General features: G+C 52.5%; 1 protein-coding gene across 1 annotated transcript in view, besides 16 other annotated features; it reads right to left on the minus strand.

The window, feature by feature from the left end:
• The window catches only part of MYH9 (myosin heavy chain 9), a 106688-nt gene that overhangs the window by 37606 nt on the left and 41276 nt on the right, over nt 1–27806 (minus strand). Inside the window, exons 3-10 of the mRNA NM_002473.6 lie at nt 22485–22641; nt 8576–8603; nt 7683–7776; nt 3544–3636; nt 2873–2936; nt 1913–2011; nt 1335–1478; nt 655–750 (exon numbers count right to left, since the gene is read on the minus strand). Of these exons, the coding sequence (NP_002464.1) occupies nt 655–750; nt 1335–1478; nt 1913–2011; nt 2873–2936; nt 3544–3636; nt 7683–7776; nt 8576–8603; nt 22485–22641 (775 nt within the window). The remainder of the gene's footprint in view (nt 1–654; nt 751–1334; nt 1479–1912; nt 2012–2872; nt 2937–3543; nt 3637–7682; nt 7777–8575; nt 8604–22484; nt 22642–27806) is intronic.
• Nucleotides 8873–9502: an enhancer, noted in NCBI's record as "NANOG-H3K27ac-H3K4me1 hESC enhancer chr22:36723803-36724432 (GRCh37/hg19 assembly coordinates)". NCBI's record gives its function as "activates a minimal SCP1, AML or CMV promoter by ChIP-STARR-seq in naive H9 embryonic stem cells {active_cell/tissue: H9 hESC(naive)}" and the evidence as "EXISTENCE:reporter gene assay evidence [ECO:0000049][PMID:30033119]".
• Nucleotides 9503–10132: an enhancer, noted in NCBI's record as "NANOG-H3K27ac-H3K4me1 hESC enhancer chr22:36724433-36725062 (GRCh37/hg19 assembly coordinates)". NCBI's record gives its function as "activates a minimal SCP1, AML or CMV promoter by ChIP-STARR-seq in naive H9 embryonic stem cells {active_cell/tissue: H9 hESC(naive)}" and the evidence as "EXISTENCE:reporter gene assay evidence [ECO:0000049][PMID:30033119]".
• Nucleotides 10111–10360: an enhancer, noted in NCBI's record as "active region_18921". NCBI's record gives its function as "activates an Ori minimal core promoter by ATAC-STARR-seq in GM12878 lymphoblastoid cells {active_cell/tissue: GM12878}" and the evidence as "EXISTENCE:reporter gene assay evidence [ECO:0000049][PMID:35858748]".
• Nucleotides 12023–12652: an enhancer, noted in NCBI's record as "NANOG-H3K27ac-H3K4me1 hESC enhancer chr22:36726953-36727582 (GRCh37/hg19 assembly coordinates)". NCBI's record gives its function as "activates a minimal SCP1, AML or CMV promoter by ChIP-STARR-seq in naive H9 embryonic stem cells {active_cell/tissue: H9 hESC(naive)}" and the evidence as "EXISTENCE:reporter gene assay evidence [ECO:0000049][PMID:30033119]".
• Nucleotides 12023–13435: a biological region, named in NCBI's record as "MED14-independent group 3 enhancer GRCh37_chr22:36727082-36728281".
• Nucleotides 12152–13351: an enhancer, noted in NCBI's record as "MED14-independent group 3 enhancer chr22:36727082-36728281 (GRCh37/hg19 assembly coordinates)". NCBI's record gives its function as "activates an origin of replication core promoter dependent on BRD2, BRD4, P300/CBP and CDK7 cofactors, and independent of MED14, by STARR-seq in HCT116 cells {active_cell/tissue: HCT116}" and the evidence as "EXISTENCE:reporter gene assay evidence [ECO:0000049][PMID:35650434]".
• Nucleotides 12653–13282: an enhancer, noted in NCBI's record as "NANOG-H3K27ac-H3K4me1 hESC enhancer chr22:36727583-36728212 (GRCh37/hg19 assembly coordinates)". NCBI's record gives its function as "activates a minimal SCP1, AML or CMV promoter by ChIP-STARR-seq in primed H9 embryonic stem cells {active_cell/tissue: H9 hESC(primed)}" and the evidence as "EXISTENCE:reporter gene assay evidence [ECO:0000049][PMID:30033119]".
• Nucleotides 12826–12875: an enhancer, noted in NCBI's record as "active region_18922". NCBI's record gives its function as "activates an Ori minimal core promoter by ATAC-STARR-seq in GM12878 lymphoblastoid cells {active_cell/tissue: GM12878}" and the evidence as "EXISTENCE:reporter gene assay evidence [ECO:0000049][PMID:35858748]".
• Nucleotides 12916–12975: an enhancer, noted in NCBI's record as "active region_18923". NCBI's record gives its function as "activates an Ori minimal core promoter by ATAC-STARR-seq in GM12878 lymphoblastoid cells {active_cell/tissue: GM12878}" and the evidence as "EXISTENCE:reporter gene assay evidence [ECO:0000049][PMID:35858748]".
• Nucleotides 13196–13435: an enhancer, noted in NCBI's record as "active region_18924". NCBI's record gives its function as "activates an Ori minimal core promoter by ATAC-STARR-seq in GM12878 lymphoblastoid cells {active_cell/tissue: GM12878}" and the evidence as "EXISTENCE:reporter gene assay evidence [ECO:0000049][PMID:35858748]".
• Nucleotides 13856–13945: a silencer, noted in NCBI's record as "silent region_13663". NCBI's record gives its function as "represses an Ori minimal core promoter by ATAC-STARR-seq in GM12878 lymphoblastoid cells {active_cell/tissue: GM12878}" and the evidence as "EXISTENCE:reporter gene assay evidence [ECO:0000049][PMID:35858748]".
• Nucleotides 13996–14045: a silencer, noted in NCBI's record as "silent region_13664". NCBI's record gives its function as "represses an Ori minimal core promoter by ATAC-STARR-seq in GM12878 lymphoblastoid cells {active_cell/tissue: GM12878}" and the evidence as "EXISTENCE:reporter gene assay evidence [ECO:0000049][PMID:35858748]".
• Nucleotides 19363–19863: an enhancer, noted in NCBI's record as "H3K27ac hESC enhancer chr22:36734293-36734793 (GRCh37/hg19 assembly coordinates)". NCBI's record gives its function as "activates a minimal SCP1, AML or CMV promoter by ChIP-STARR-seq in naive H9 embryonic stem cells {active_cell/tissue: H9 hESC(naive)}" and the evidence as "EXISTENCE:reporter gene assay evidence [ECO:0000049][PMID:30033119]".
• Nucleotides 23472–23990: an enhancer, noted in NCBI's record as "H3K27ac-H3K4me1 hESC enhancer chr22:36738402-36738920 (GRCh37/hg19 assembly coordinates)". NCBI's record gives its function as "activates a minimal SCP1, AML or CMV promoter by ChIP-STARR-seq in naive H9 embryonic stem cells {active_cell/tissue: H9 hESC(naive)}" and the evidence as "EXISTENCE:reporter gene assay evidence [ECO:0000049][PMID:30033119]".
• Nucleotides 23991–24508: an enhancer, noted in NCBI's record as "H3K27ac-H3K4me1 hESC enhancer chr22:36738921-36739438 (GRCh37/hg19 assembly coordinates)". NCBI's record gives its function as "activates a minimal SCP1, AML or CMV promoter by ChIP-STARR-seq in naive H9 embryonic stem cells {active_cell/tissue: H9 hESC(naive)}" and the evidence as "EXISTENCE:reporter gene assay evidence [ECO:0000049][PMID:30033119]".
• Nucleotides 24845–25504: an enhancer, noted in NCBI's record as "H3K27ac-H3K4me1 hESC enhancer chr22:36739775-36740434 (GRCh37/hg19 assembly coordinates)". NCBI's record gives its function as "activates a minimal SCP1, AML or CMV promoter by ChIP-STARR-seq in naive H9 embryonic stem cells {active_cell/tissue: H9 hESC(naive)}" and the evidence as "EXISTENCE:reporter gene assay evidence [ECO:0000049][PMID:30033119]".

Here is a 27806-nt window from a genome sequence, read left to right on the forward strand (position 1 = left end):
CCCAAGTAGCTGGGATTACAGGCGCACGCCACCATGCCCGGCTAATTTTTGTATTTTTAATAGAGATGGGGTTTCACAATGTTGGCCAGGCTGGTCTCGAACTCCTGACCTCGTGATCTGCCCGCCTCAGCCTCCCAAACTGCTGGGATTACAGATGTGAGCCACCACGCCCGGTCAGGAGTGTCTTTTACAATCCACACACCCATGCGTTACATCTTTAGAGAGACCCTAAGGAGGGCACATTAAGACTGAATAACTTGCATGGGGTCATTTGCAGCAACCCTAACAAAGGGGCTGAATCGGGTGTGGCAAGGACATAATTTCAAGATCTCGACATAGTCACAGGCAAGGCTCCCATTAAGGAGGAGCTACGGCAGAAATCATTGGTGTCCTGACGAATGGTTTGGTCTCAGGAATGAATAAGGGAAGCCCTGGTCCACATGATCACAAGTTTAAGTTATTCTGAAATGCTTACTTGGTGAGAAAAAAAAGCAGGGTCATGTTTACGTGTGTTTTACATCTGTATAGAAAATACCGACAGATACTAACATTAAAAAGAATAGTGTCCGGAATTTCCGCAAGACCTTCCCTCCTGAGCAAATCCATGGCCAAGCACCTGCCCCATTATTTCCAGCGAGAGGCCCCGGGTGTTACCTGTGTTGTCGGGCATGGACGCCTGGTCAGTGTTCCGCTCCTTCTTGAAGACGATGTTGCCGAGCTGAAGAACCCCTGAGATGACCCGCAGCAGGCCTTTGGGTGCAATCAGAGGCAGCTCAGAAGCAGACATGGGTCATGGTGATTCCCGGGGGTGGGGGCCACTCATCTAGGGATCCTCAAGCCAGACAAGCCAAGCAGGGACACCCCCCAACTCCCTGGGGCCACAGGGGCGCCAGGTCTGCGTCTAACGGTGTGCGGTGGGCCCAGCCACCCTAGAGGGCTCACCCCCTCCTGGCCGACATGGCCTGTCCGCACTGCCATTCATGCTGGGCTTCACCAGCACAAAGCACCCATCTATCCCCAGCTTCTTCCACACTCCCCGAGACAGGACGTGAATATTCTACTTTCAGCAAATGGCAAGGGCTGTGCAGTGGACCCGAGTCCTGGGCAGTTAAGAACATGTCCTTTGCACCCTTTCTGAATGCCTGTGGTACCACCAGGAACAAATAACCTTGAACCTCAAATCTGAGGAATCATTTTCCCATACACTGAAGGCCTTCCCCTTCCCCTGGCCTCTAGCAGGCTCCCCAGGCCCATCGGCTACCCTGATGCCCCGAGGCCGTGGGTACCAGCCTTCCTCTGCCCCACACTCGACCATAGGAGGGCCAGCCCTGTACCCATTTGCTCCTCTTCTGGGATGCCCATAATCCTCATGGCCTCCATGGTCTCCTGGAACATGTCCTTGTCCTGCTGCCCGGGGATGGTGACGTGTCCATTGGACAGGAAGCGGTATTTGTTGTACGGCTCCAACAGGAGATCGGCTGTAAGGGGTGGAGGGCAAGGGCGCCTCAGCGAGGTGCTGAAAGTGGAGGCTCCATCAGCGCTGTGACCTCAAAGGTTGGAGAGACTGGGACAGACCCTGAGCCCTGACGCACCCTGGAAACCGCAGAGTAGCCAGTGACGTTCAGCTTTCCTCAGTGTCTGAGACTCTGACACTCCCGTCTCCTGGCCCAGGAGAGCGCCAGGTCCTGTGATTTGCAGCTACATGTGCAACCCACCCTAGCTTTTCTCTGGCATGGTCAGAAACAGAAGACCAAGTCCTTAGGATGGCGCAGAGAACAGGAGTCACTCTCACTTCTCCCCGTTAAACCCAAGGCCAAAAGTTTTCATTTCCCAAATGATGTCTACGGTCCAATTCTGGCAAGAGGCCCAGAGCCCGGCAGCCCCGGTGTCAGGCTGCAGGCCAACTACTCACTCTTCAGGTGCTCTCCAGCCCCAGACAGGAGATAATAGAAGATGTGGAAGGTCCGTTCTTCCTTGGCTTGGCGGATAGCACGAGATTTCTCCAAAAGATCTTTGCAAATATTAAGGAGCAACACAAGCTGGGGAGAAGGCAAGCCCTCCACTTTCCTCATTTTTTTTTTTTTGGAGACAGAGTCTCGCTCTGTCACCCAGGTTGGAGTGCAGTGGCATGATCTCGGCTCACTGCAGCCTCCACCTCCTGGATTCAAGCGATTCTCCTGCCTCAGCCTCCCAAGTAGCTGGGATTACAGGCGCCCACCACCACACCCAGCTAATTTTTAGTAGAGACAGAGTTTTGCCATGTTGGCCAGGCTGGTCTTGAACTCCTGACCTCAGGTGATCCACCCACCTTAGCTTCCCAAAGTGTTGGGATTACAGGCGTGAGCCACTGTGCCTGGCCAGCCTTCCATTGTCCTCTTATTCTCGTCCAAAGGAACTGAACTTCACCAGGAAGGAAGAATGGCACAAAATGGCAAAACACAGCAAAAGCAAACTACCTGGGTTCTCACCTTCAAGGGGCATGGCATGTCCAAGAGGAGCTCACACCTTCGAGAGCCTTGTCTCATTCTTACAGGTAATGGGAACAAGAACATTCCCACAAGCAAAGGCTAAACGGTGGCACGCAGGAGAGTGGCATCCCCCAAACGCCTACCTCTGGGAGCCACACTAGACGGCTTTCAACAGCTCCATGCCATTCAAAGCACAGGTTATCCTGCCTGTAAATAAGGAAAGCCCTAAGCTCTGTGTTGGGTTTGCACTAGCCGATCCTGACAGTCCCCTAGCTCCACAGAGAAGGTGTCAGGATGGGCCCATAAAGGGGAAAGTGCTGGAATCAGGAGGCAGCTTCTTCTCTACAGAGGTCATGCCTCCCCTCCGGATCCAGGACTCTTATCCCAACGAACCACAAGGATACAAGTCTCAATGTTGGCTCCAACAATGTAGCCATTGACATCAAAGTTGATGCGAATGAATTTGCCCTAAGTAAGAAAGGATAGCAAGAGATCAGAGGTGCCCCTGACATGGGGAGCTAGAGAGCACGGGGGAGACCACAGCCCCCCGCCCCACCTCCGGTGGGCACAGCTTGGAGGGAGAAAACCCAGAGACGGGACCCATGTACCAGGCCAGGGGCCCCCTACGCCCACACCACACGGGACCTCGGGACTCAGGCGCCACACTGCCTAAGGCCATGAGCCTGAGACAAGCTGATCCCACACCCAGGTTCCTCCGCAGAGGGGGAAAGAGACCAGTTATGTGGAAGTGTTCCTCTCTGCCTGACCCGGGAACTAACTGGCTACTGGTGACAGCTGAGCACTCTGGGGCACAGCAGGCAGCGCCCTCACTGGCCTTTCCACCTCTCATGAGGGAGGCTGAAGAAGCTACTCGTGGCCTTCGTCCTTAAGAGGGGCAGGGCAGGTCCACACCAACTGGCATTCGGTCTGGCCTAGTCCACACGACAGGCCAGATAGCACCGAGTCTGAACCGTCCTCGGTTTTGAGGGGAGGGCACCCAGGAAAAGGCAGCATGAGCCAAAGCTCCGGGCAAGGCCCTCTGTCCCCAGAGCCGGGGCGCCGCCGCGCTACTCACGAAGCGGGAGGAGTTGTCATTCTTCACGGTCTTGGCGTTCCCGAAGGCCTCCAGGATGGGGTTGGCCTGCAGCAGCTGCCGCTCCAGCTCGCCCTGCAAGGAACCCAGGGACGCAGTGAAGGCCGGGCAGCGACCTGGGCTGCCGAGCCTGCCCTGCCTGGAAGGGGGACGATGGCAGAGCCGTGTCAGCATGTCCAACGTGCCAGGAACAGAGGTTTCCGGGTGGGCTCCAGTGTGCGACTCCAACCAAGGCCAGGCCCCGGTATCATCCAAGTGCGGCCTTCCCGCCAGGCTTTGGAAACCTTGGTCAGTTTGAACTTACTTCCATGGCCCTGGAAACGGCAGGCAGGAAGCTCCCTCAGCTCTAGGAACCTGGCCCTGGACGACCCATGTGAAAGCAGCACTTAAACTAGGGAGCCGGCGGCACAGACACCCTGGGACAGTGTCTCCACCCTGTATACACCAGCTTCCCTCTACCTCCTTGCCTCTAATCCTCACATTTTTATTCCTTTTCATAGGAAAAGCAAATGAGGGGATCGGATCTGGAAAATATACACGCTCATCTCATCTGTGTCCTGATAAATGCTTCACTTTCTGTACCAGCCCCTCCACTGCCGCGTCCAAAACCACCATGACAGGCAGTGAGCACGGGATCCATGAGGCCCACTTTGGGCTCCAGGCTGTTTACTGAGAATGTCAATAAATCCTACTGTGAACTCCAGGGTGCTTTGTGGTAGACAAAATGCACCCTTGTGCCTTCTTATCCCTGGATCCCCACCATACTCACGGGGCAGGACAGAGCAGCCCCATTTCACAGAAGAGGAAGCTGAGGCCAAGGGAGGGGTGCTCAAGGTCATCCAGCTATCAATCCGCAGAGCGGGGTGGCGGAATTCCAGTCCCCTCCCTAACCTGTCAGCCACTGCCCTGTCTTCGCACCTGTGCAACAGGCCCATGCCACCAGGGACTAACTAACGCTGGCTAAGGAAACTAGGGAGTTGGTTCCCCTTAATGCCTGAGTGCCCTCTGGGGGAAAGAACGTCACACAAGGGCCAGGCAAGCCTTTGTATTTATTAAAGACTGGAGGCAAGCCAGGGTTTTCCGGGAACAGCAGCCGCCTGTGAGTGATGACAAGGAGAACTAGGAGGAGTAGGAGCTCCCAGGAGAGCCATGGACCCTGGCCTTACAAGCACACCTGCCACAGACGAGACCCATCTGCAGGGCACCGGGGACACTCTGGAGTCTAGCCGAGCCAGATTGGAAGCCCACCTGAGACCACAAGGGACACAGCAGAGACTCTTCCTCTGGCAGCCCTCCTAGGCCAGGACCCCCCAACCCAGGGCTAGGAAGCCTTCCGCTTGTGAACCATCCAGACAAGTGAGGGCATTGCTCTAGTGCCCGCCCCTGAAGGAGGGTCAGCAGGGCCAGGTCAGAGGGCAGGGGTCAAGCCCACAGAGCAGGCTCTACGTGTGCGCTGGGCACCAGTGGTAACTGGACACCGGGCTTCCACCCACAGGCCTCGGGCGGGCCTGGGAAGTCGGCTGAGGCAGCCCACGGAGCCAGACTTGGATGAGAATGGCTCCCCCACCCACTACGCCGTTCCTCTCAGAGCACAGGCCAGGCTGCCAGGCTGGCTGAACCGCTCCCATTCCCGCAGACAGAAGGGAGCGCGGCCCCTCCATTGCCTGTGCTCGCCCTGGCTGGGAGGCGAACTGAGGCCTCTGTTTGGGACCACACGCTGTTGCCGTGGAAAGTGGGGCCGCGGGGCCAAGTCGGGAGCAGCCACTTCAGATTCCAGAGCTGTGTTCCCTGCTGACAACAGTGATGACTAACCTATGGCTTTTTCTCTACTGACATCTAATTGGGCACAGAAGAGATTTTAATTTTTCAATGAAATCTGCGTAACATGAAATGATGCGGTACTGTATGAGGTTTGGGGTTACCCATCGGTTTCTGAAGGGCTTCACTGGGTGGTGTTTCTGCCAGTGGGCCCCAGCTCGTACACAAATAACAGAGCAGGGAGAGTCAAAGGTCACCGTTCAGGATCCGGGCATCTGCCTGGAAAGCCCCTTGGACCAAGCTCTGCTTTGCCAACCTGCGGCCCAGGCCAAACCTGGCCTCCCCGCAGCAAGGTGAGGTCTGGAACAACCCCTCTGCTGGTGTTGGGAGGGTCAACTCGGTCACTGCAAGTGAGAGAGCGCTGGCTCCCAAACCAATTCAAGGGTGTTCTGTGCTCCGGCAGCCTGTGGAAAATCACAGCACAGCTTCAGGCAAGGAAATCAACCAAACCGGCCAATGGTCTTTCACGCTGACAGCCTGAGCTATGACTGGAAGCCTGGGGCAACCTACTCCCTCACTCTAGTGGGCTCAGGGCAGGGACGGGGTGCCTACCAAAGTCTGCGTTTTGACAACGTGGCTCCCACTGTCACCCCCAACCCCAGCATGCTGTCTTTGCTGAGTGCTGCCTTCCCCTCTACAACAGGAACCCCAGATGTAAGGCATATGATCTATTTCACTGCTCTCCGTGTCCTGTCTCCTGTCTTTCAGGACAGGAACTCCAATGTCACCCTCCCAAGAACCAGTCACATACTAGGCAGTCAATAAATACTTGGGAAATGGATTTTACTGCAAATTCAGAGATGGAAAAGCACAGCTAGAGAACTCCTAACCTCACAGCTCTGTTTTTAAAATAGGCCTCCTAAAAAGAATGGAAAATCGGGGGTAGGGAGGGAGAGAGGGATGGAGAGAGAGAGAGACAGAGAGGGAGACAGAAGAAAAGAAACTGTATTAGTTTCTAAATATAACTCCTGACGCCCCATGGAAAAAGATTCCAAACGTCTTGAGAAGCTTGGCACATGAAAAGTTACTTTTGGTTCGGTTCCAGAAGACTGTACTCATTAGGCCATTCTGCAGGCCACACCCCAGACCTGCATGCAGACTCACACCCCTCCTTACTTACGAAGGCCGCACACGGCACGCCAGTAAGGTGGAGCCACCGGGAGCGGCCAAGCTCCCCTGATGGCTTCAAGGAACACCACTGGCACTTAGCTTTCACAGGGGAGGTTAAGAGTGTGTGCTTGAGAGAGAGCATCCCACAGCCATGCTTAAGTCTGATCACCCCAACCTCTGAAAAACTCCAACGTGAGAACTCCCCGGCACTGCTTCTGACTGGCACGGCGGTGGCAGGTGAGGGCAGCCGGCCATCTGCATCTGGTCTGGACCACAGAGCGTGGAGGGCTCCGTGAGAGCGGAGTCCCCATCCACCGTGCCGGGGTCAGGTTCCGCATGGGACATGACAGCTATGGTGCGCTGTGGGGAAATCTGGGCATGACTGGAGTTTCTGAGAACAACTAGGTGTGAGGCCCGTCCCCATTCTGCAGGAGCTGTCATTTCAGAGTGCACAGGAGGTCACTGTGTGCCACACCCAGCCCCTCCTCCCAAGACAGTCAGTGAGCTGAGCCTAAAAGAAGAGTTCTAGCTGCAGAAAGTGACAAGTGTGGGGTGAAAAGCTGCTTAGAACAAAATACAGAATTCAAGGGCACACGATGGGCAGAACACGCATTCCCAGTGCAGAACGTGCAGTAAACGTGCAGCTCACCTAGCGAGGACACTGCTGGGTTCAACCATAATCCATCAAAAGGGAGAGGAAAAAAATGGAGGTGAGATGACTTTCCAATTGCCCTTTCTGTCTTCGCTGGGGTGGTGGGGGTGGGTGGCTGTCCACCCAGAGGCATTTCAACAGCAGGGAAAAGAAATGGAATCAAATACAGGTCTGCCTGAGACCTTTCAAGCCTCCATCAACTTGAGGACCAAGTCTTGGAATCTGCCTTCCAGCCTCAGAAGGGGAGGACACACAGCAACGAGCTGCAAAAGCCAAGAGGGCTGCCATGCAAACTCCAGGACCTCGCCAGTTTCCATAGCAACTCAGAAGGCTAGGAGGCCAAGGATGGAATGGGCTTGCTACCGCTGGACCACTCCCAGGACAGGCCACGCCACTGCCTCAATGGAAATGGGCCCAGCCTCTGCTTCATTCCCCAAAGCATCCTCTTGTAAAGCTGAAGCCGGGACCACTAAGTGCTCTTCCTCCATCATCCCACCAAGGCCAAGCAGGCGGCCACAGGGACAAGGGCTGCAGCACTCACCTGGTCCTTCTTGCTCTTGTGCGAGGACGCCACGTACGCCAGATACTGGATGACCTTCTTGGTGTTCTCCGTCTTGCCAGCTCCAGATTCACCACTACCAAGAGAGGCAAGGAAGTCCCGGGCTTAGGCATGGCCAAGTCCTTGACCTCTGTCCCTTCCCACTGCACGCTCCACTGCCTCGCATTCTGTTGGGTGCCCGTGAAGGACCCAACGTGTGGCAGAAAACGGGACTGCCACATAAACGCTCTGGAATCCTCAGGCAGTTCACTTCCCATGGCTCTCCAGGGGCCAGACAGAAGTAAACTGAAATCCACTGCCTGTCCTGGTCACTTGTCAGGGCAAGTGACTTCACATCCAAGTGTTTTAAAAATCAGTTTTAGGCAGCTGTGGACTTAGGGGTCAAAGGCACTTGTACATGTTCCTTTGAAACGTCACTTAAAGGAATGTTCTGTGCCATTAACTCTCTTGGCAATGGGGTTTATGGATCTCCTTGTTAAGTTCAGAGGCTGAGAGGCCCCAGTGTCTACTTCAATTCAGGTAAAGAAAAGCCACCATCCAGAGCAAGAAGGAATGCCTTCCACCCAGAAGTTACGGAGGAGCTGGTTCCCAGCTGGATTGTGGAGAGATCTTGCTTTTCCTTTCTGCCATAAGCTCCACCCTCCTTCCCACTGGCTCCTTGAGGAAGGATGATTGAAATTGAGCTCATCCATGCAGTGGGACCACTGAGTAGCAAACACACAAACTGAAGTCCTATCCCTTGGAGAAGTGGAGGAGGGGCCTTGAATTGGGAATGGGGGACTCTGCAAGCCCCAGTTGTGGTTTCAGTAGGAGACCTCAAGAATGAGAACAGACTGGGGTGAAACGAACCACTACCCAGACGGAGAAATACTTACGTGCACAAGATGGATTGATCTTCTCGGTCTGAAACAAAGAAGACATCAGATTAACTCCCGCCAGATGCAAAAGCCTCCCCACCTTGCTCCCAAAGAGCTGCCCGTTTCCCAGACAGGGAGCACAGTGTCACAGATGCTGTCTTTGTGGGGATCTCGCAGTCTACCCTCACACCTGGCTAGGAGGAGCATCTTCGGGGGAGAGTGCCATTGGGCAGCTGCTCCTGCCGCCCAGGAGCTCAGATTGTCCACCCACGCTGTTCAGCCCCCACCAGAAAACCAGAAATAGTTCTGTGTCTCCCACCTTAGAGGAACTAGTGTGTGGAAAACTCTCCAGGAGTCGACTTCCCTGGGAGCTGAGTGGGACCTGCCCTGTGTGTTTATAACGGGGTGGGGGGCTGAAGCTGTTAGAAAGAAGCCTGCTGCAGGTGCTCTAAATACCATCCCCACTGAAGGAAGGAGCACCATTTAAGAGGCTGGGGAAGGAGGGGTGACGAGGCCTGGCTTTGCAACGGGACAGCCCTGGGATAAGATGCTGCCTCACAGCCTGAGACCCGGGACAGGTGCGCAGGCTTCTCTGAGCCCCAGCTCCCTCCTCCGCAGCGTGGGATAACAGTACTTGTGTCCACAACACATGTGAACACACCAGCACGGTGTCTGGCAAGTGGAAGGCGTGCAATGATGTCACTTTAGAGGCAGCTTGTAAAGAATGACAGCTTCTGATGGGTTTCTGTGACAACCTGTTCTCTAGCCGGGTGTCAGGAACTTTCAGCAACTATCAACAGCTCTATGAACTGCTCGGCAAGGAAGGTTATAAATACCCACCCTCCCCCAGTACAGGAGGGGCAGTAATGCCCACACTCTGAAAGCTAAGTTTGCCAGAAACACTAAGGCATCCTGGCTGTTCAGTACTGGGTATTCAAGCAACAGCTGAAAATATAAACTCATTTTTTTCCGTTTTATCCCGCCCCATCTAATAGCCTCACCGTCCTTGAAGTCAAATTGGCCTGAATCCAGGATCAGGCTACTTACAAATATTTGAGCTGCAGTGAGGTATTTAATTCTGAGTCTCAGTTTCTACATCCACAAAGTAAGATCTGCTACTAACTCCCTTGCAGGATTAGTTTGAAAAATAGAAATAACACATAAAATGGACCTGCCGCAGTCCCTGTAAAGACAGTAAGCTCCACAAACGGTTGCTGTCTATACCGACTTCCCCAACGCGACGTCGCCACGATGGGTGGCAGTGGCGTTGTCAGGGCAGTGGGAGCATCCGTGGCTGTTGGTACAGTATCAGCCCTGGGTGGAAACACGGATTCAGCGACGTGTGAAGGACACACTGAGTGGCTCGCACCACCTGGTCAGGGCCCTGCGTGACTAGGCACTGGGAGAATGACTCACGGCTTTCCACGTGCATGGCCTCAGGAGACACATTTAACCGTTCAACACCAGTAGCCACCGACCAGCTAGGCTGCCTGCCTCTTCCGAGGTGAGCTTTCTAGCATGCCTGACCTCAGCAGCGTGTGGGGCTGGGCACTGCCTCCAATCTCTTCTTCTGCCCACTGGTCATTCAGGAGGGAAAAGGAAGCCCAGACAGAAAGAAGAAAAAACAAACCTCACACCCAACACCAATGGCAGCTGCCCCTGCCCTGGGCCGCAGCTTCCTCCCAGCCCCCTAAGCATCAACGGGGTGGGGGCGCAGAGGGGCTGGGTCACTCTCATTCACAAACACACCCCACACCCTGCTCTCTGATGTGGAAACTACTCAGGAGGCAAGCTCTAGGGGAGGCAAGCCTTACTCCCCCTTGCCTTTCTCAAAAAACACGAGTCCTTCAAGCCTGCACAGCGAGGACAGAGATTAGAGACCTGCATCCTCGACTAGACAGACGGGAAGACAGAAGGGAGGGAGGCGGCAGGAACCACAGCCTGGGGAAGACAGAGCAATTTCATTGCTGGCCCCTAACGACAGTGTGGCAACCGATAAGGGTTTGGAACAAACATTTTTGTCATCCCAGCCCCCTGCCCTCCCCCACTGCGTCTCCCTGTGGTCTGCCCCAGCTGTGGGCATGTTTAGTCACCGGCTCTACTAGCAGGCAAGAATGTACCTGCGAGTGCTGGCAAGTCGTGAGCAGCCAACGGCCCAATGCTACCATAAAAGGAAACATTCCCCAACCCTTCCAGAGGAACCGTTTTCCCAGGGCTGTCCCTAGGATGGCTGGAATTCCTCTAATTGTGTGAGGAGGAGTCAGAGGCTCTGCTGCTGAACAACAGGAAGCAGAGCCCCCAAACACACTCGAGGGCATGCACACAGAGGCGCACGCACGCACAAGGGCATGGACACACACATAGACACGCAAGCATCTGTGCATACACAGTCACATATGGAGGTAGGTGTACAGAGGTACGTGTGCACAGAAATACATGCGCACACACGTGTGCAAAGCCATATACATAGATCCACACAAGGCACACAGCTGCACACGCATTCACAGATGCATATCCACAAGCACAAGTGCAAACACAGGCACGCAAGGCACATGTATTCACAGGTGAATGTGAACATACATGTATGTACATAGCCATGCACACACACGGATGTATGCACAGGCACACACACTTCAAATTCCGAAACCCCAGAGCCAAATTCAGTGTCTCCTCTCCATCCACCCGAGCGTCCCTAGCTCTCCCACTTCTCCAGCCTTCCCCGTCCAATTCCTGAAGCCAATTTACCACTGTCAACACAGCCTAACCATACCTTAAAGAAATCTGGATTTGTTCTGCCAGGAACATTCATCTGGACAAATGCTTTCTGAAAGGCAAACTGCTGGGAGGCCTCCTCATTGCATCTCTTACCGCACTGCTTAGTATCCTAAATCCACCGGCCGGATGCACCACGAATCGTACCATGGCCCCATGCAACCGAAAAGGTCTTTCCAATGCTCAGGAAGGGTTTTGGTCTGTTATCTTGTGTGGCCTCCAATAACCTTACAAGGTATTGTATTGTAATGTACAAAGCAGGTATTATCATCATTGTTTTGCCATCTTTCCACACAGCGGTTCTTCTGGATTTGTTCCTGATCTCAGAGGCATCTCTTCTGGGCAGTGGGGTGGTTAGAATTCTTAGCAACCAGTGGGCTCTTTGGCCTACTCAGTTTACTCTGCAGCCCACCTCCCCACCCTATGCATTCTAGTGGAGACTGCCATTGGCGCCCACCCCATCAACCCTTCCCCGCACTGTCATCTCACAGGATGAGCACATTCAGAGTCCGGCCCAATCTGCTTGTTTTGGCTCGAGTCCTTATTTGGCCTGTAAGGACTGAAGGCTTATTTGAAAACGCCCTTCCTTCCTCTAAACGGGAGGAGGCCGCCAGGGACAAGCCTCTTCTGGGACACGAGCCCCCTGCCAGATGAAAGTCTAGCCGTGGTAGGCGCCTGAACCCACTGCCCCAGCCCCTCTCTTGGTGAGGGTGGGGTAGAGATGGGGTTATGAGTCACTCTGCAGTAGTTTTCAGACTTTTCAAAAAGCAGCGGCAGTCCTTCCTCAGATAAAATCTTCCCAAATTCCTGAGCAAGGGACAGTGGGTGGTGGAGACAGGGTTCCTCAGAGCACAGTTTGACAACCACTAGTCCATGTGTCTGGAGCAGTTCTGCAAAGGAGGAAGCCACAGCCGAGAGCGCTGTGGCCCTGGGTTCCGCTCTTCCCCACGCAATGCCTGGCCCCTTGACCTCTCTGGGAATGAAGGGACTGCTCTGAGGATGGAAGGAAATGGTGTTCCTGTCGTACACGGTGTGAGGCAGATGCCCAGACATGCCGTCCTCACCCGCCTGCTGTCTCGGAGCTCCCAACTGAGCAATTCCCTGGCACCGCCACGAGAAAGTCTTTCATAAAAGTTACAAATTCAGGAACCAGGCCATTTTCTCCCTGGATTTCATTTTCAACCGAAAATGTCCTGAGGCCAAGCCCATGCAGTGAGGGCATCTGAGCTGATGTGGCCATCTACCTGTGGACAGGTGTTTCCAGCCAGCTCAGCAGGCTGGGCCCAGGAGGGAGGAAGGGGAACCTGACCGCAGGTATTTCATCCCAGGTGCAGACTTCTGCTGGGGGCTTAAGCCTCACTTCCTCTGTGAGAGGAGCTGCAGCTCACTCTTGTCCATAAAAGGCCACGAGGCTCGCAGAGCGGTGACATCAGCCCAACAGGAAGTACAGAGGAAGGGGCCTGCTTCACCAGCAGCCACTGCTGGGACTGACTCATCACCCAGCTCCCAAGATCACACCTCCCGAGGTTCCAGCATGGAGCAGCTCTCTCGGGCTCCACCTGGGAGAGGTCCCTGCAGGACCCCATCTTCGGCTCCACTGGGCTTCTTGAGAAATGGGTATGGGCCAAGAAAGAAAAACAGGAAAAAGGGCAGTTTCAGGTTGGACAACATGCCCACGTTGGGTGAGACTGATGGGATAATCTGAGACAAATGGGACCAAAACTTTCCACCACCAGGGAGTCTTCTGCTTTCAGGGAAACTCCAGAGTGGCCCCTGGGGGGTGGCTTGCTATATGTGTTGGCACTGTGAGCCCTGCCCTGCGTTGCCAGGATGGCTTGATCAGAGTTGCACAAATGGGGCTGAGAACTCAGGTCTCTGGAAACCTCACGCACCCCAGGACTCCCCTCCATCGAACACCCCTATGAGCACAGCACTCGGCACCTCCCGCAGGCCTGCCTCAGTGCTGCAAAGAAAGGGCCGCGACACTCTCATGACGAGAAGCTCTGCTTCTCCACAGCCAGCTCAATTCACAAGCTTGGGTTACAAGTCTTTGGGAGGCAAACAGAGAGGTGAAGAAAAGCAAGTGCAAAATGATGCTTCATATTAGCAGAGGCTGCAGATCTGTGCCGAGTGGGGTGGAGCTTCCTGGCAGCCTGCCTGCCTAGCAATCTGCCAGCAAAGGAGGAAGCCCCTTCCGTCGCTCCCAGGCACACAATGTGGTCATGGGCGAGTGTGCCCTCCAGGCCACCACGGTAGGCCCAGACCAAGGGACATGCCTGCTCAGCAGCATCCACACCAGAAGCCAGTTCGACTCGGCCCAGTGCCTCTGCCCCATAGCCCCTGTGATCTCCCAGGTGGAACCTGGTTTGAACCTGCTGAGACCCAAGTCCCCACTTATAGGAGGCAGAGAATGGGTAGCCCTCCCCCTCCAGACACTCTGGATAATTAAAAAAAAAAAAAAAAAAAAAAAAAAAAACCTCAAGGTATTGCTCTTAACTTTCATTATGTCAGACTAAGCGAGGCCCCAAACAAGCCTTCTCTTGGCCAAAATGCATTAGGAAAACACAGGTAAGTTCCCAGCACACAGGCAAATCTGCCAGAAACAGCACTGCTGTTTCTGTGGGTGGGGCCAGGAGGGGGAAACTTCTCCTTCTGGGGTTGTTGCCAAGGCAGCTCCAACAGGTTTGTCAGACTGGAGGGAAATTCAAAACCACATACGAGTGCTGACCACCCACAGCACATGCCACCGGGACACTCCCAGTCCGGTTCCGCCTTGCTCCTACCTAACATTTCCCTTGCGAAAAGGAAAGACAAAGCAGGAGGGGCCCCTGTTGACTTCTGCAGAGGGCTGGATCAACAGGGAATAAGAGGGAAGGAGCTGGGACACACACAGGGAGCATGGCAGACACAGCCAGGCACTGCTCATGACAAACTCAGCTCCCTGTTGGAGCACAAACAGGCCTGCAAAGACAGCAACCAGCTTTGTGAAACTCCTTTTGATGAGTCAAACGTGCTTGAGAGCACCAGGGACATCAATGGTAGGAGGTGAACAGTTAACAGCGCATGAACACGTTGCCTCGGAGGAGCGGTCGGTAGAAGGAAAGGCATGTCGGTGACTGTTAGGCTAGGATTCACTCCTGGAGCACGGCTCACGCTTCCTCTCCTTTCAGCTTAGACCTGTGCCCTGTTGTATCTGTGGACCAGCTCATGTGGAAGAGACAAGATCTTCAGGAAGAATCCCAAAGCCAGGTGGGAATGACATCCTGAGCCCCCATCAGTACTGTCTGTTTGCCAAAAGAAAACCTGGGGTCTCAAGAGTTTATGGAGTTTATGATCAAGGTCCACACGGGGCTGACAGCCTTGGTCAAGACTAAACAAATTTGACAGAAGCCACGTGCAGAATCCCAACTTTTATACCTGCAGCTTTTCAGTTCATTTATCTTTCTTTAGTTGTAGGGAATTACTTTGGTTCTCAACTGATAACTTCATTCCAGAAATCAGGTATGTAAAAGAAAGCAACTCCTTTCTCTGAACACACTGTTGTTCAGCCCTGACAAACTGGGACACAGTTCAACTGAAGTCTCTAAGCCAGAGCTGGAGAGAACAGGAAAAACGGGCTGGTAGGTGACACTCACCAGGCAGCAAGAGAACTCGTCACGGGAGGCCAAAAGCACGAAGTGGCTTAGTGATTAGGGATTTGATGTGAGTTTTTGTTGTTGGTTTATTTCAGGGGATGGGGAGCAGAAACAAAAAACACTGGGCAAAGCTTCCAAACACCCCCACCCAAAATTTCAGGTTCTAAGAGGCCACTTCCTTTTTATCTCCCGCTCAGTGGGCCCAGAGCAAAGCATGGTGGGCCTGTTGGGTTGGATTTACAAAAAAAAAAAAAAGTAAGCCTAACGCTGAATCCTTGAAAAGGGCCCGTTAACTGCAGATTCCTCTTCTAGAAAGAAGAAGTTCTAGAAATGAGACTGACAGGCAGGACCATGGGTAGTTCAGCAGCCTCATGCTGGGGCCGGGCTTTCCTTCCTGGAGGAGCAGCACAAAGCAGCCAGCTCGCATCAGCTCGAGGACAGCGCCTCCCGGCTGCAGCCATGGTGTTGGGTGGTGGCCCAGGGCCTGCTTCCCACAGCACCTGTCTGGTCCACCAGCATCCCAGGGAACAGAAAAGTGTCTCAGGGCTGCAGAAGAACCAACTCTGGATCAAGCACATCTCCTAAAGCTCCACTGAGGCCACATCAGCCCCAGGCCTCAGCTCTGCGTGGACCAGACCAGATAAGCCAGGACCGCGTCTGCTATCGCGTTCCAGTGTGTGGCGCGGTCGCTGCAGGGGCGGCTGTGACAACTCACTTCCTGCACCTGGACTCTCGGGAGAGTGTTTTTGGGGAGATTCAAATGGCTGCCTGGAAGATGCATTTGGCCATCACCTTCATTAAGCGAGCAGGAGTGTGGACGGAAGGAATGAGCGATTTGAAGCCTCCGTGGAAGGCGGGGCAGTTCAGTCAAGAAGTGTTTGGACTCCTACTGCCAGCTCTAACAGGTACTTATCGCAGGCATCACACACACGGCGTCTTACTTCTTACCATGGCCCTGCCCAGGAGTGTCATGAAGCCCAAGAGGAGGACAAGAGGACAAAGGCTCAATTAGAGTGAGTTGACTTGCTCCAGCCAGGTTGCAGTTAGGAAGCTAAAGAGGCAGATTCCTGCTCTGTCTAGTCCAAAACCCACAGTCTCTCCTCCACGACACACTTCCTCTTGCTCAAAGGCAATACGTGGCACTATTCCCAAGTCTAAGGCTGAGACAGGCCCAGCAGCCCCTTTTTGGTGCCCTATAGAAGTGCTGTGTCATCTATCAAAGGCCCGTACCCACCCCAGAAGCTCTCGAGGCTCGGTGGGGCGCCCCTCCTCTGTGCTAGTCTCTGGCTCTCATCTTGAAGCTGATTTGCCTGTCTCTGAGCACGAAACAGTCACCTCCTCCAGGCAGGCCCCAGCCTGCTGTCTGTACACTCTCTGCAGAGTGCCCGGCACACACACAGTAGGTGCTCAGCTCAGCCAGCACAGAGAGACCAGCAGGTGCAGACACAGAACACGCCCCATCTTGGAGAGCCCACGCTGCCTCCACAGGCACATTTAGGCACACAGGGCCTGCTCCCAACCTCCCCAGCAGACAGCGGTGCCTTTGTGTGCTGACGGCTGGCAGGGCTGGCGGCCTCCCGGCTGGGTGCATTCCTGCTTCAGCAGAGTCATCCCATCTGTGGCTTCCATGGCGCTCCTTCCTCAGCTGCCTGTCCCGGTGAGTCGATTCAAACAGAGCTTTTCTGCCCCTTGAAGCTTTTTCCTGAGCCTCTGCCAAACATGGCACTTTTCCTCAGAAAGACATTGGAAAGCAGACAGTTCCACAGGAGACACAACTAGCGGGGCAGGGAGAATGTGGAGAGAAGGAAAGAGAGGGCCTCTCCTCCCCTAGTGCCCCCCAACCACTGAGCTGGAGATAAGAATTCCTTCAAGACCAGCCAGAGAAAATGAGGGGCACCAATGCCCCACGGGCCTGTGCCAGGGTAACAGGCACCAGGACAGGAAATCAGGAGACTGCTTTCTGGGGCTGGCTCTCTGCGGGCTTTTCGACAAGCCAGTTAACATTATCTGTGCCTGCCTCTTTACGTATGAATTCGAAGAGCCATGCTCAGACGTGAAGATACACAAAAATTCTACCCCTCATTGTTTACAGAAAAAGGTCAGACACCGAGGGGCATGTGCACACTCACTGGCACTCTGAGCGGCTGCTGGGTGACCAACCACCTCTGGTGCAGCTTCCCTTGGGAACCAGGGATCGGGTGGGAAGGGAGACTGGCACAGAGCAAAGGGTTAAATTGCTCTCAGACAAGTTTAGGCCTAGAATGAAAGCAGATCTGCTTCCCCCAAAATGCTGGGAACTCATTAAAATATTAATACCATAAAGTCACTGAAAGTGAACCAAACCTGGCATTCTACCTAATTCACATAGAAGGGGCTTTTTCTACTCACTGGGGAGATAACTGGGCTCATGTCAAATTCCTCAACCAGTGAGTTCTCCTGTAGAGACATACACACCTTTCCCCATAGGGGAGACCCCAGAGGGTCTGGCCCGGGATCCAGAAGCACCATTTCCTAGGCGAGGCAGACCTTTTGCAGACCACAGCTGCTTCCACCTGAACTTTACAGCAGACCATTGTGCCTGCCCCGGGACACAGTCCCACCCATCCCCCGCTGCCTGGCAAGGGCCAGCAACACAACGTTTACGCTCTCTCACTCTCCTGGCCTTGGCCAGTTCAAAGCCTTTGGTGCCATCACAGAGTTCCGAGGAACAGTCCAATCCCCAAGGCAGGAAGACCCAGGAACGGCCATGACAACGAATTAACAACATGGGAAAGCCAGGGGCAGGAGGGTGAACCGACCATGTCACCCAAGGCCACGCTGGGCACGTCTGGGATGCCCTGTAACTACTTACTGACTGACACACACCACCGCCTTTCTGCAAGATCCGACCTCGCCACACCTGACAAAACTCCCAGGACACCTGACATTGGCTCAGTCGTGCTGGCGCAGGTGTAGGCACCAAATGTCTTGTTTTGTAGCTAGGGCCACAAATCTCTGTCTATAAACATGCCTCGTCTCTCCACCTGGACCGCCAGGGCATCCAGTAACAGGATAATGTCAAAACCTCCTGGCATTCTGGCACCTTCTGTCACCTACCTCCACGGCCTAATCCAAGGCACTACATGCTGTGATGCCCCACCCGTGCCCACGGCAGACAGCACTAATCCATCTCAGAATTCCTGCATCGAGTCTCAAATCCTTGCCAGCACAGGGCTCCAGGCAGCCACTACTGATCGATCGGAGATGACACTCAAAGTAAAACTAATCTGCAATGCTTAGTCCAGTAGTTCTTAACTGGGAATAATCTTGCCCCCCACGGAAACTTGATGGCAATGTCTGAGAATATTTTTGGTTGTCACAACTGGAGAGGGAAGGTGTAGCTGGCACCAAGTGAATAGAGGCCACGATGCTGCTAAAAATCCTACAGTGCTCAGGAAGATCCCCCACCCCCAACAGAGAATCATCCAGCCTCAAATATCACTAGTGCCAAGAGTGAGAATCCCTGGCTTAGTCTGACAATAGGTGAGTGACATATAATTTATCCTCCAAACTGGGATGCTTCTGAAAGTGAAAGAGAGTGCTATTAATAATAACTGTGGAACAACAGGCATAAATCAGGACTGTACAGGCAAACCAGTACACTGAACAGATAAAGGCAGATGGAGGTCCCCAGGAAGGGTCAAAGAGCTCCTCTCCTACAAGTCCCCAGACAGAGCCACCAACTGCCCCGTTTGGCAGAATAAATGCTAGTATGTCATAAGGCACAGCCAGCTCAGGAAGGAAATCTTTGTCTAGTTCTTGTTTAAAGAAAAAGCACAAAAGGAACTTTCCGGCTGTGCCTTTTAAGATGTAAGTGGCAGAGAACAAATCTGTTTCCCTCAAAGCCAGGGGGGCAGCATGCACTAAGACTTCACTCCAAAAGACAGGAGCAGATTTTAACAGCCTGCAGACCCCGAGGCTCCACGGGTGACACATGACCCAGGGCAAGAACCAAAGGTTCCTCTGGATATTTTTCTTTTACTAGTGAACCAGCTTGTCATAACATGGACAACTTCTGTTACTAACTTCCTCCCTGCTCCAAGAGCAAGAAACCTATTAGTATTTGCTTTGCAGGTCAGCTATATACAAAAAGAAGGAACTTTCTTTTCTTTTTTTTTTTTTTAATTGAGACCAAGTCTCGCTCTGTTGCCCAGGCTGGAGTCCAATGACACGATCTCAGCTCACTGCAACCTCCGCCGCCCAGGTTCAAGCAATTCTCATGCCTCAGCCTCCTGAGTAGTTGGGACTACAGGCGTGCGCCACAATGCCTGGCTAATTTTTTTGTTTTTTTAGTAGAGACAGGGTTTCGCCATGTTGACCAGACTGGTCTCAAACTCCTGACCTCAGGTGATCCACCTGCCTCGGCCTCCCAAAGTGCTGGGATTACAGGTGTAAGCCACCACACCCAGCCGAAGAAGAAGGAAAATAGCCTAGAGACGTCCTTCGTCAGTCAATGTGGGAGCTCAAGAGCTGCAGCAAGTCCAATGCTAGCAGAAGGCAAAGTGAAAACCTCTCAGACTGAGGGTTAGAAAACACATGGACCCAATTCCTGCACGGACTGCTTTAAAGGAGGCATCAACAATACAAGTTTCCCGTGCTCACAAATGTATTTCCTATCCCTGGTCTCCAAAAGATGAAATCGCCCACCTGGCTGGGTGCGGTGGCTCACACCTATAATCCCAGCACTTTGGGAGGCCGAGGCGGGTGGATCATGAGGTTAGGAGTTCAAGACCAGCCTGACCAACATGGTGAAACCCCGTCTCTACTAAAAATACAAAAAAATTAGCCAGGCGTGGTAGCATGCACCTGTAATCCCAGCTACTCAGGAGGCTGAGGCAGGAGAATTGCTTGAACCCAGGAGGCGGAGCCCGCAATGAGCCGAGATCGTGCCACTGCACTCCAGCCTGGATGACAGAGTGAGACTCCATCTCAAAAAAAAAAAAAAAGAAAAAGAAATCGCCCACCTACCTGCCCTCATAATTTGCAAATCTGATCAAACCACTTGATTCAGAATCTTGACAAATCATGAAGAGACCCTGAATTGCACAGATGTACGAGGGTGGCCCCTAAGTTCCTATGAAGGCCATTCGGTATGGCCAAGAAAAAGGAAAGCTCTGGTTCTCTGCATCCTTTTTTTTGTCCCCCAATTACTTTCAATGTATGGAGCTTTCAGGCCACCACCAAATTTTTGTTGTTGTTGAACAAATAAAAATTGAATGAATCTCTTGGAGAAGGAGTCCCACAGGTTAACTGAAGACAGTCTGAAGTCCAGATCTGAAGACTGTCTCCTGCCTCATCAGTACACATTACTCAGTCTTAATGTCTTGCCTAAAAGCAAAAATGCCCAGTTGCTAGATAACCATCCCAATCCAGGATCCAAGTGTGAGAACAGGCCCTTACTCAGTAGCTCAGATCTCAAGATGACTCCGGAGTACACTTTTTGCACTAGGCCAATTAAGAGAGCTGGGAGCAAACTGACTCATAACCTCTAGAGACAAAGAATCAGACCTTTCTGGAATCCCACAGAATGTTTTTCCACCAGGCTGTTCTAGTTAGCATTTTGAAACAGACATTCTACTTTAGAACTGAAGGCCTGACTTCCTCAAGATATTTTGATAGACGTGAACATAAGCCAAAGACTCGGCCAAACTTGAGCATCCTACATAATGCATCAAGCTCAACAGTAAAATGCCTCCTTCACAGCACAGCGTGGGTGGTGGAGGACAGGCTGCAAGCTGCCACTGTAAACCACTAAACCAGGGACAAAGTGGTTAACCCAACAAGATGCATTACCACCACTGTCTAGATAGACTGCAAAGTTTAAAGAAAAAAGGATCCATATGTAATGGGACATAACAAACCACTATCCATACAAGATAGGAGAACACGGCCCTGCCTGAAAATTGGGTTTGAGTCAGGATTACATATGCCAGGTACTTGGCTAAGCTCTGAGAATATAAAGGCAACATGGGCCCTGTCTGTATCTAGGAGAGAAAAAGAAACGTGTAAACACTGCAGTCAAATAAAGCACTACCAGGGCTCTGATGCAAATCTAGCCCAGATATTCTCCTTGGAGGCCCTAATGCTTCAGTCATGTTTTTAAAAAAAGAATAGGGATTTGCCAGGCATTGCAGGCAGATGGAGCAGGTAGGGTGTTCTGAAGCAGAAAGAGCTATTAGGGAAATGTAAGGAGTTCCACATAGCTAGGAAGGTGGGAAGGTAGGCAAGGGGCCAATTTTGAAGGGCACTGTACACTAACACAGAGTCACAGTGTTATTAGGCTAGTGCAAAAGTAATCGCGGTCTTTGCCATTACTTTTAATGGCAAAGACCGCGATTACTTTTGCAGCAACCTAATAGCTCTGGGGGAATGAGGAGCCTTTCTATGATTTGTCAAGATTTCAAATCAAGTGATTTGATCACATTTACATCCCAGAAAGATGACCAGCTGGTGGAAGCACAGGGTAGGGGGCTCTATTAAGAGTAAAGTTGGCCAGGCACGGTGGCTCACGCCTGTAATCCCAGCACTTTGGGAGGCCGAGGTGGGTGGATCACCTGAGGTCAGGAGTTCGAGTCCAGCCTGGCCAACATGGCAAAACCCCGTCTCTACTAAAAATACAAAAATTAGCCGTGCATGGTGGCACAAGCCTGTAATCCCAGCTACTAGGGGGGCTGAGGCAAGAGAATCGCTTGAGCCTGGGAAGCGGAGGTTGCAGTGAGCCAAGATCATGCCACTGCACACTCCAGCCTGGGTGACAGAACGAGATTCCGTCTCAAAAAAAAAAAAAAAGAAAGAAAGGAAGTGGTAGAGACTGTCCGATGCTGGGGAGAGGTGAGGTAGGAACTCCTGAGAGCCGTGGACTTAGCAACACACAGGTCATACATAGGTGACCTCTGTTGGCCAGTCTGGAGAAGGGGTGGGGACAGACAGCCAGGGCGAGGGGAGTGACCAGGAGGTGGGGATAGAGGCAGTGAGCACAGACACTTCCTCCACAAAGCTTCACTGCGATGGAACAGAAGGGGCACAGAAGCCAGAGTGACAGGGGGGCAGAAGCCACCCGAGGCTCTGCATCTGTTTGTGTAGAGATGGGAAGAACTCGAACGTGTTTCTAGACTGTGGGGAAGAAGCAAGAAAGGAAGAGGGAAAAACACAAAGGGAAGGGAAGAACAGGAAGAAGAAGGGGCCTAAAAGAAAGCAGAGGGGACAGGCACAAGAGCTCTTGAAAAGTATGAGAAATTGAGAGAAAGATTAGGAAATGTATATTTTAAAGCTTCTAGAACATTCTATCAACATATAAACATGTCCTCTGGATAGCCACTGGCCCTGGCTTTCATACAGAGGTCTACAGACCTCCATGATGCACTGCCCATCACCAGCCACTAGATCAATGTGGCACCAAATGTGACTTAGCACCTGCAAAGGTGTCAATGAGGCCCCAGGTGAAGATTCAGCCCCAGGTGGGCACACACTACGTCACCCACCTTGCATCATACTCCTGTAGGCGGTGTCTGTGATGGCATAGATGTGAGGGGGCATCTCGTGCCTCTTCTTGCCCTTGTACATTTCCACAATCTCTTCAGAGTAGATGGGCAGGTTCTTGTAAGGATTGATGACCACACAGAACAGGCCTGAATAGGTCTAAAGAAAAGAGCGGCAGATAGGAACAGGTTAGGAAGTTTGATTCTCAGTAGTGTACAAACTTTGTAGCAAAATATCTGCGGCTTCAAAGGACCCCTGAGTCAGCCTGATGTGAAGGCACTCCCTGATGGCCCTTGCTCCCAGTGGCCCAGCTCCCGCAGCCCTGCTGCAGGTGTGAAGCACCGGCATCCTCCTTCTGCCCTGTAAGTGAAGATCCTCCCTCTCCACTGCAGGAGTGCTCCAGCCTCATAGGTCAGTGAGTGTGCGTATCCACCAGGCAAGGTCCGCGGCCAAGCAGACAACAGCAAAGTCCAGTTACAAAACTCAGATCCGAGGACAATGAGAGATGTCTTTGTCATCGTGAGAGAGGCACAAACAGAAAAGGGCTCAGCTGCAGCGCAGCAAACTGTAGAAACACAAATCATTCCACACTGAAGGACGCTGAGAGATAGTGAAGCTTACACCTTTCTAGCACTGGAAAAACGCACTGTGTCCTAAACCAATTAGATCCTTTGTGGGATAGTGGGTCCCTGACAGACACCTCTTTCTCTGGAATCTTCTAGAGACATTCACATGCAAATCCCTCAAACACTTTAAGACTATTTCACGTCCCCCGTGAGCCTTCTCCAAGACTTCCTCTCTGGAGGGGAACCCAATTAATCAACATCCTTAATGTGAGGTACCTAAAATATACCCAATACTCCAAGTGTGACTTGATCAAATTCAAATAAGACCCCCAGAGTCAGATATCCTGAGTTCAAATCTCAGCAAGGGTAAGGTTCTTAACCTCTCTCCCCCTCCATTTCTCGATGTGAAAAACGGGGACAGGCAGAGCTCTAGACCTCATTGGGTGGTTATGAGGATTAAATGAAGCACATAGCACAGCACGCAGCATAGCCTTGGAGAGGAGCTCTGGGTAGGCGAGGAGAACCATTTCCAACAGCAACAGTTTACACACATCTGTCCTTCCTCATCTTCAGGTAAATACACCTTACCTTGTGACTACCTCCGTGTCTTCAGGGAAATATACTTTACCTTGTGACTACTAATTCTTTTTCTAATAAGTTTCCTGTTACTTTTTCTCCCAAGATCCCTTTCCCCCACCAAAAAAAAAAAAAAGATTCCTAAAAGCTGCGCAAGACTCCCAAGACCACCCAGGGTGGCAGATGTTCAGTTGGGGAACGCAACCCTCTTCAAGCAACTGGAGTGACCCAAGTACCCTCTTCCTAAGAAAATGGGCCTGAGGGGCCTGGCGAAGTGAAGCCGGGGCTCCACGCACCACATCACCTACGGCCCTGCCTCTGTGAAGTGATGATGGAAGGTCACAAGGCATTGGGCAGAGCTGGGAGCAGACTCGGGTCTCCAATGCCAACCTCCTTGGTCACGGAGGCCAGTTCTCCGAGCTCCTTCCAACCTTTTGTTTTCTCCATCACAAGTGGCCTGCACCTTCATTGTTCATGAAGCAGCCACCATCTGAGGGACTGCATGCACTACAGAGTCAACCCAGCCCCCTCCACCTGTGCCCTCTCCAGTCACTCCAAAACTGGGGATGGATCTTGTGGCTGAACCCAAAGACAGGGTCCACATAGGAACCAGTCATGAAGAGAAGGCTCTTCTCAGGCACTGGCCAAAGGCTATGGCACAGGGAATTTCCAAGCAGCAATTGACTAAAGGCAGAACCCAGAGGGCCCCAACAACCACACAATGGTATGCATTCAAAACAGCTGAGGCCACACACAGGGGCTCACACTGGAATTCCAGCACTTGGGGAGGCCAGGGTGAGAGGATCGCTTGAGGCCAGGAGTTCGAGACCAGCCTGGGCAAAAAAGCAAGTTTCCATCACTACAAAAAATTAAAAAATTAAAATAAAAATTAGCTGCGTGTGGTGGCATGCACCTGTAGTCCCAGCTACTCAAGAGACTGAGATAGGAGGATCACTTGAGGCCAGGAGTTCGAGGTTGCAGTAAGCCATGATGGCAACACTGTGCTCCAGCCTGGGTGACAGAGGGAGACCCTGCTCTTAAAAAAAAAAAAAAAAAAAGAGCAGCTGAGCTTAGAAATGGACAAGCGTGTTTGGCTGCTTGGAAAAGGAGATGCAGGGCCCTTGATTTCCTTTCTTCCTGGGATAATTAGTCACTTGTTTTCCCTCCAACTGCTCTTTTCACAAGAGACCAGGAAAGCTCTGAAGAAGTGTAAACACGGTATTGGCAACCTGCGGGCCCAGGCATTTCAGGAGGAAGAGACACGGGAGCCTGTTCTGGTTTTTCCTCTGCGTGAATGTTGAGTGGGGACAAGAGAGAAGGCCAGGGAGCAGCAAGGTCACCCCAGGAGCTCAGAAACAATCAAGCTTTGTTCCTGGACTTTGAGAAAACCCACACTCTAGGAAATCCAGCCCAGGAAAACCAAGGACACGTGGTCGCACACTAAGGGAGTGCCATGGAGCCAGATGTTTGGAAACAGCTGGTGCTGACAGCAGAAGGGGACCACGGGTCATTAGGACAAGTCTTTCTGACAGCTGGGTGGGCACATGGTCCTATGGAGTGGTCTACGGGAGCTCAAAGTTCTCTGGGCTAATCCCGTCAAAGCAGTGATGATGGAGCTAAGCCCTGCGGAAAGAGCACTGAGGCTCAGGTGGGAGGAAGGAGATTCACTGGATGCTCGTGGAGGCAAGACATCGAGCAAGCGGCTTCGCGCCCACGCGGCGCGGCCACGACACGGCGCTGCTCCATTCACAGGCCACAGAGGCTCTTTGTGCCCATCCGCCCCCATCCCAGGGCCTCACCCCCTGAAGAAAAAGACAGAGCAGCTGTGGCTCAGAATTAGCCACGCCACCCACAATGCTGGGCAAACAGGCTGCACGAAGGCTCCTGAGGTCATGATTTGGAAGCTTGATGGAGAGATAGACCATGAATGAGGCAGCACCTCCCCATCCAGGCAGCACCTCCCCATCCAGGCGGCCCCGCCCAGGGGCGCTGACATGCTAATAACTCTGCATCTGCTGGGGTCTCCACTAGAATGACTACAGAGGCCATCAATGGGCCTCTTAGTGATGATGCTTAGAAGAAGGCTGGTGAGAGGCAGGAGGAACTGCACACCAGAGGTGACAGCAAGGAAGCAAAAATGAGAGTTAATGCCTCCAGCCAAAGAGTTCTAGAGAAAAGGTGTGGGCACTACCCACCACGCCCACCCACAGTAAAACCTCTGCGTGTGGCTTGCAATGGAAAGACGCAGCCACTAACACTGAATGTATCTGAATAATGACTGTTCCCTTTCGTGGGAGGGAGAGGCCCTGTGCAAGCTCAGGCAGGCTCAGGTGCTCCACTTGTTTTAATTCATATCCAGCAGATCCCAAAAGAGACTCAAGTTAAAAAGGCACCAATAAAGAGCCAAGGAGAGAAACAGGAGTTATTTTCACTTGTAACACACATCAGCAGCCTGAGTCCAGGCCCCCAGGCCTTGCCCCGAGCCAGGTGCTGGCTGGGTACTTTAGAAAGTTCCCATGGATGCCGGGTGTGGTGGCTCACGCCTGTAATCCCAGCACTTTGGGAGGCCGAGGCGGGAGGATCACAAGGTCAGGAGATCGAGGCCATCCTGGCTAACACGGTGAAACCCCGTCTCCACTAAAAATACAAAAAATTAGCCGGGTGTGGTAGTGGGTGCCTGTAGTCCCAGCTACTCGGGAGGCTGAGGCAGGAGAATGGCGTGAACCCGGGAGGCAGAGGTTGCAGTGAGCCGAGATCATGCCACTGCACTCCAGCCTGGGCGACAGGGCAAGACTCCGTCTCAAAAAAAAAAAAAAAAAAAAGTTCCCATGGAATCCTCGCAGATGAGGAAGTGAGACTCCACATAGCCATGTCTCATGGCCAGTAAGGGGCAGAGCTGGGATTTGAACCAGGTCCTCGAGGCTCCAACTATAGCACTTAAGGGCTCTGCTTTACTGAGCAGAGGCCATCTCAGCTTAGTGGCACAGCAGAGTGGGTGTGACATAAGCTATAAAGCCTGCCAAGAGGAGCGCCTCCCAATCCCAGACAGTGAGGCTGCAGCTCCCATGTCACCCCCACAGACACACTGTGCTTCCTTAAAGCACAGTCTGCCATTCATTTATTTGCAAGTCACTAATTCTGAATTTCAGTGGTTAATACTCCTTAGGGACAGGGGCCTTTAATTTGGTCCACATGATAATCTTATCAAGCAACAGATGAGACACAATAGGTCTGAAAATCAGGAACCCAAGTTCCAGCCTCAGCCTGGCCAACACCTGGCTGTGTGACCCTGCTTAAGTTCCTTGCTATCTCTGGGCCTCAATTCTTCCCACCTGCCATGTTAGAAGGCTGGGCTGGGGCCGGGCGTGGTGGCTCACGCCTGTAATCCCAGCACTTTGGGAGGACGAGGTGGGCGGATCATGAGGTCAGGAGTTCCAGACCAGCCTGGCCAATATGGGGAAACCCCGTCTTTACTAAAAATACAAAAATTAGCCGGGCATGCTGGTGGGCACCTGTAGTTGCAGCTACTCAGGAGGCTGAGGCAGGAGAATCGCTTGAACCCGGGAGGCAGAGGTTGCAATGAGCCAAGATGGCACCACACCACTGCACGCCAGCCTGGGTGACAAAGTGAGACTCCGTCTCAAAAAAAAAAAAAAAAAGAAGGCTGGGTTGTAAAGGAGACTGTTCCACATATCTACTTGTTGATAGGTCTTTGATGAGCCAGGTTCATCCCCCAAAGGGTGGGCATCGATGGCAGAAAACAAAGACCTCGTTGTCACAGACTGATTTAGCAATCAACAAGGAAATGCAGTCCTAGTCAGGAGTTCCGGGCAAATACAATGGCCCATGGCTCCCATTGAAGGCTTTAGCACATTGCAGGGCACTCAGAAGCATGAGTCTACCTCGTAGAAATGTGCTTAAGTCTGTCTGAAGTCACACAGAAAATTAAACGGCTGACCCTTTCAGAGCTGCTGTCTCTGTAACAGAATGAGCCTGCCACCACCTGCTTTTATTACATATGTGACCATGAGCAAAATCCCTCAGTCTGAAAGTTGGTCTTCCCATCTGTAAAGTGGGAAGGCCATAATAATCTTTTTTCTTTTTTTTGTTTGAGACAGGGTCTCACTCTGTCGTCCAGGCTGGAGTGCAGTGGTGCAATCTCGGCTGACTGCACCCTTGACC

Source organism: Homo sapiens, chromosome 22, assembly GCF_000001405.40.
Source record: "Homo sapiens chromosome 22, GRCh38.p14 Primary Assembly".
NCBI classification, from domain to species: Eukaryota; Metazoa; Chordata; class Mammalia; order Primates; family Hominidae; genus Homo; species Homo sapiens.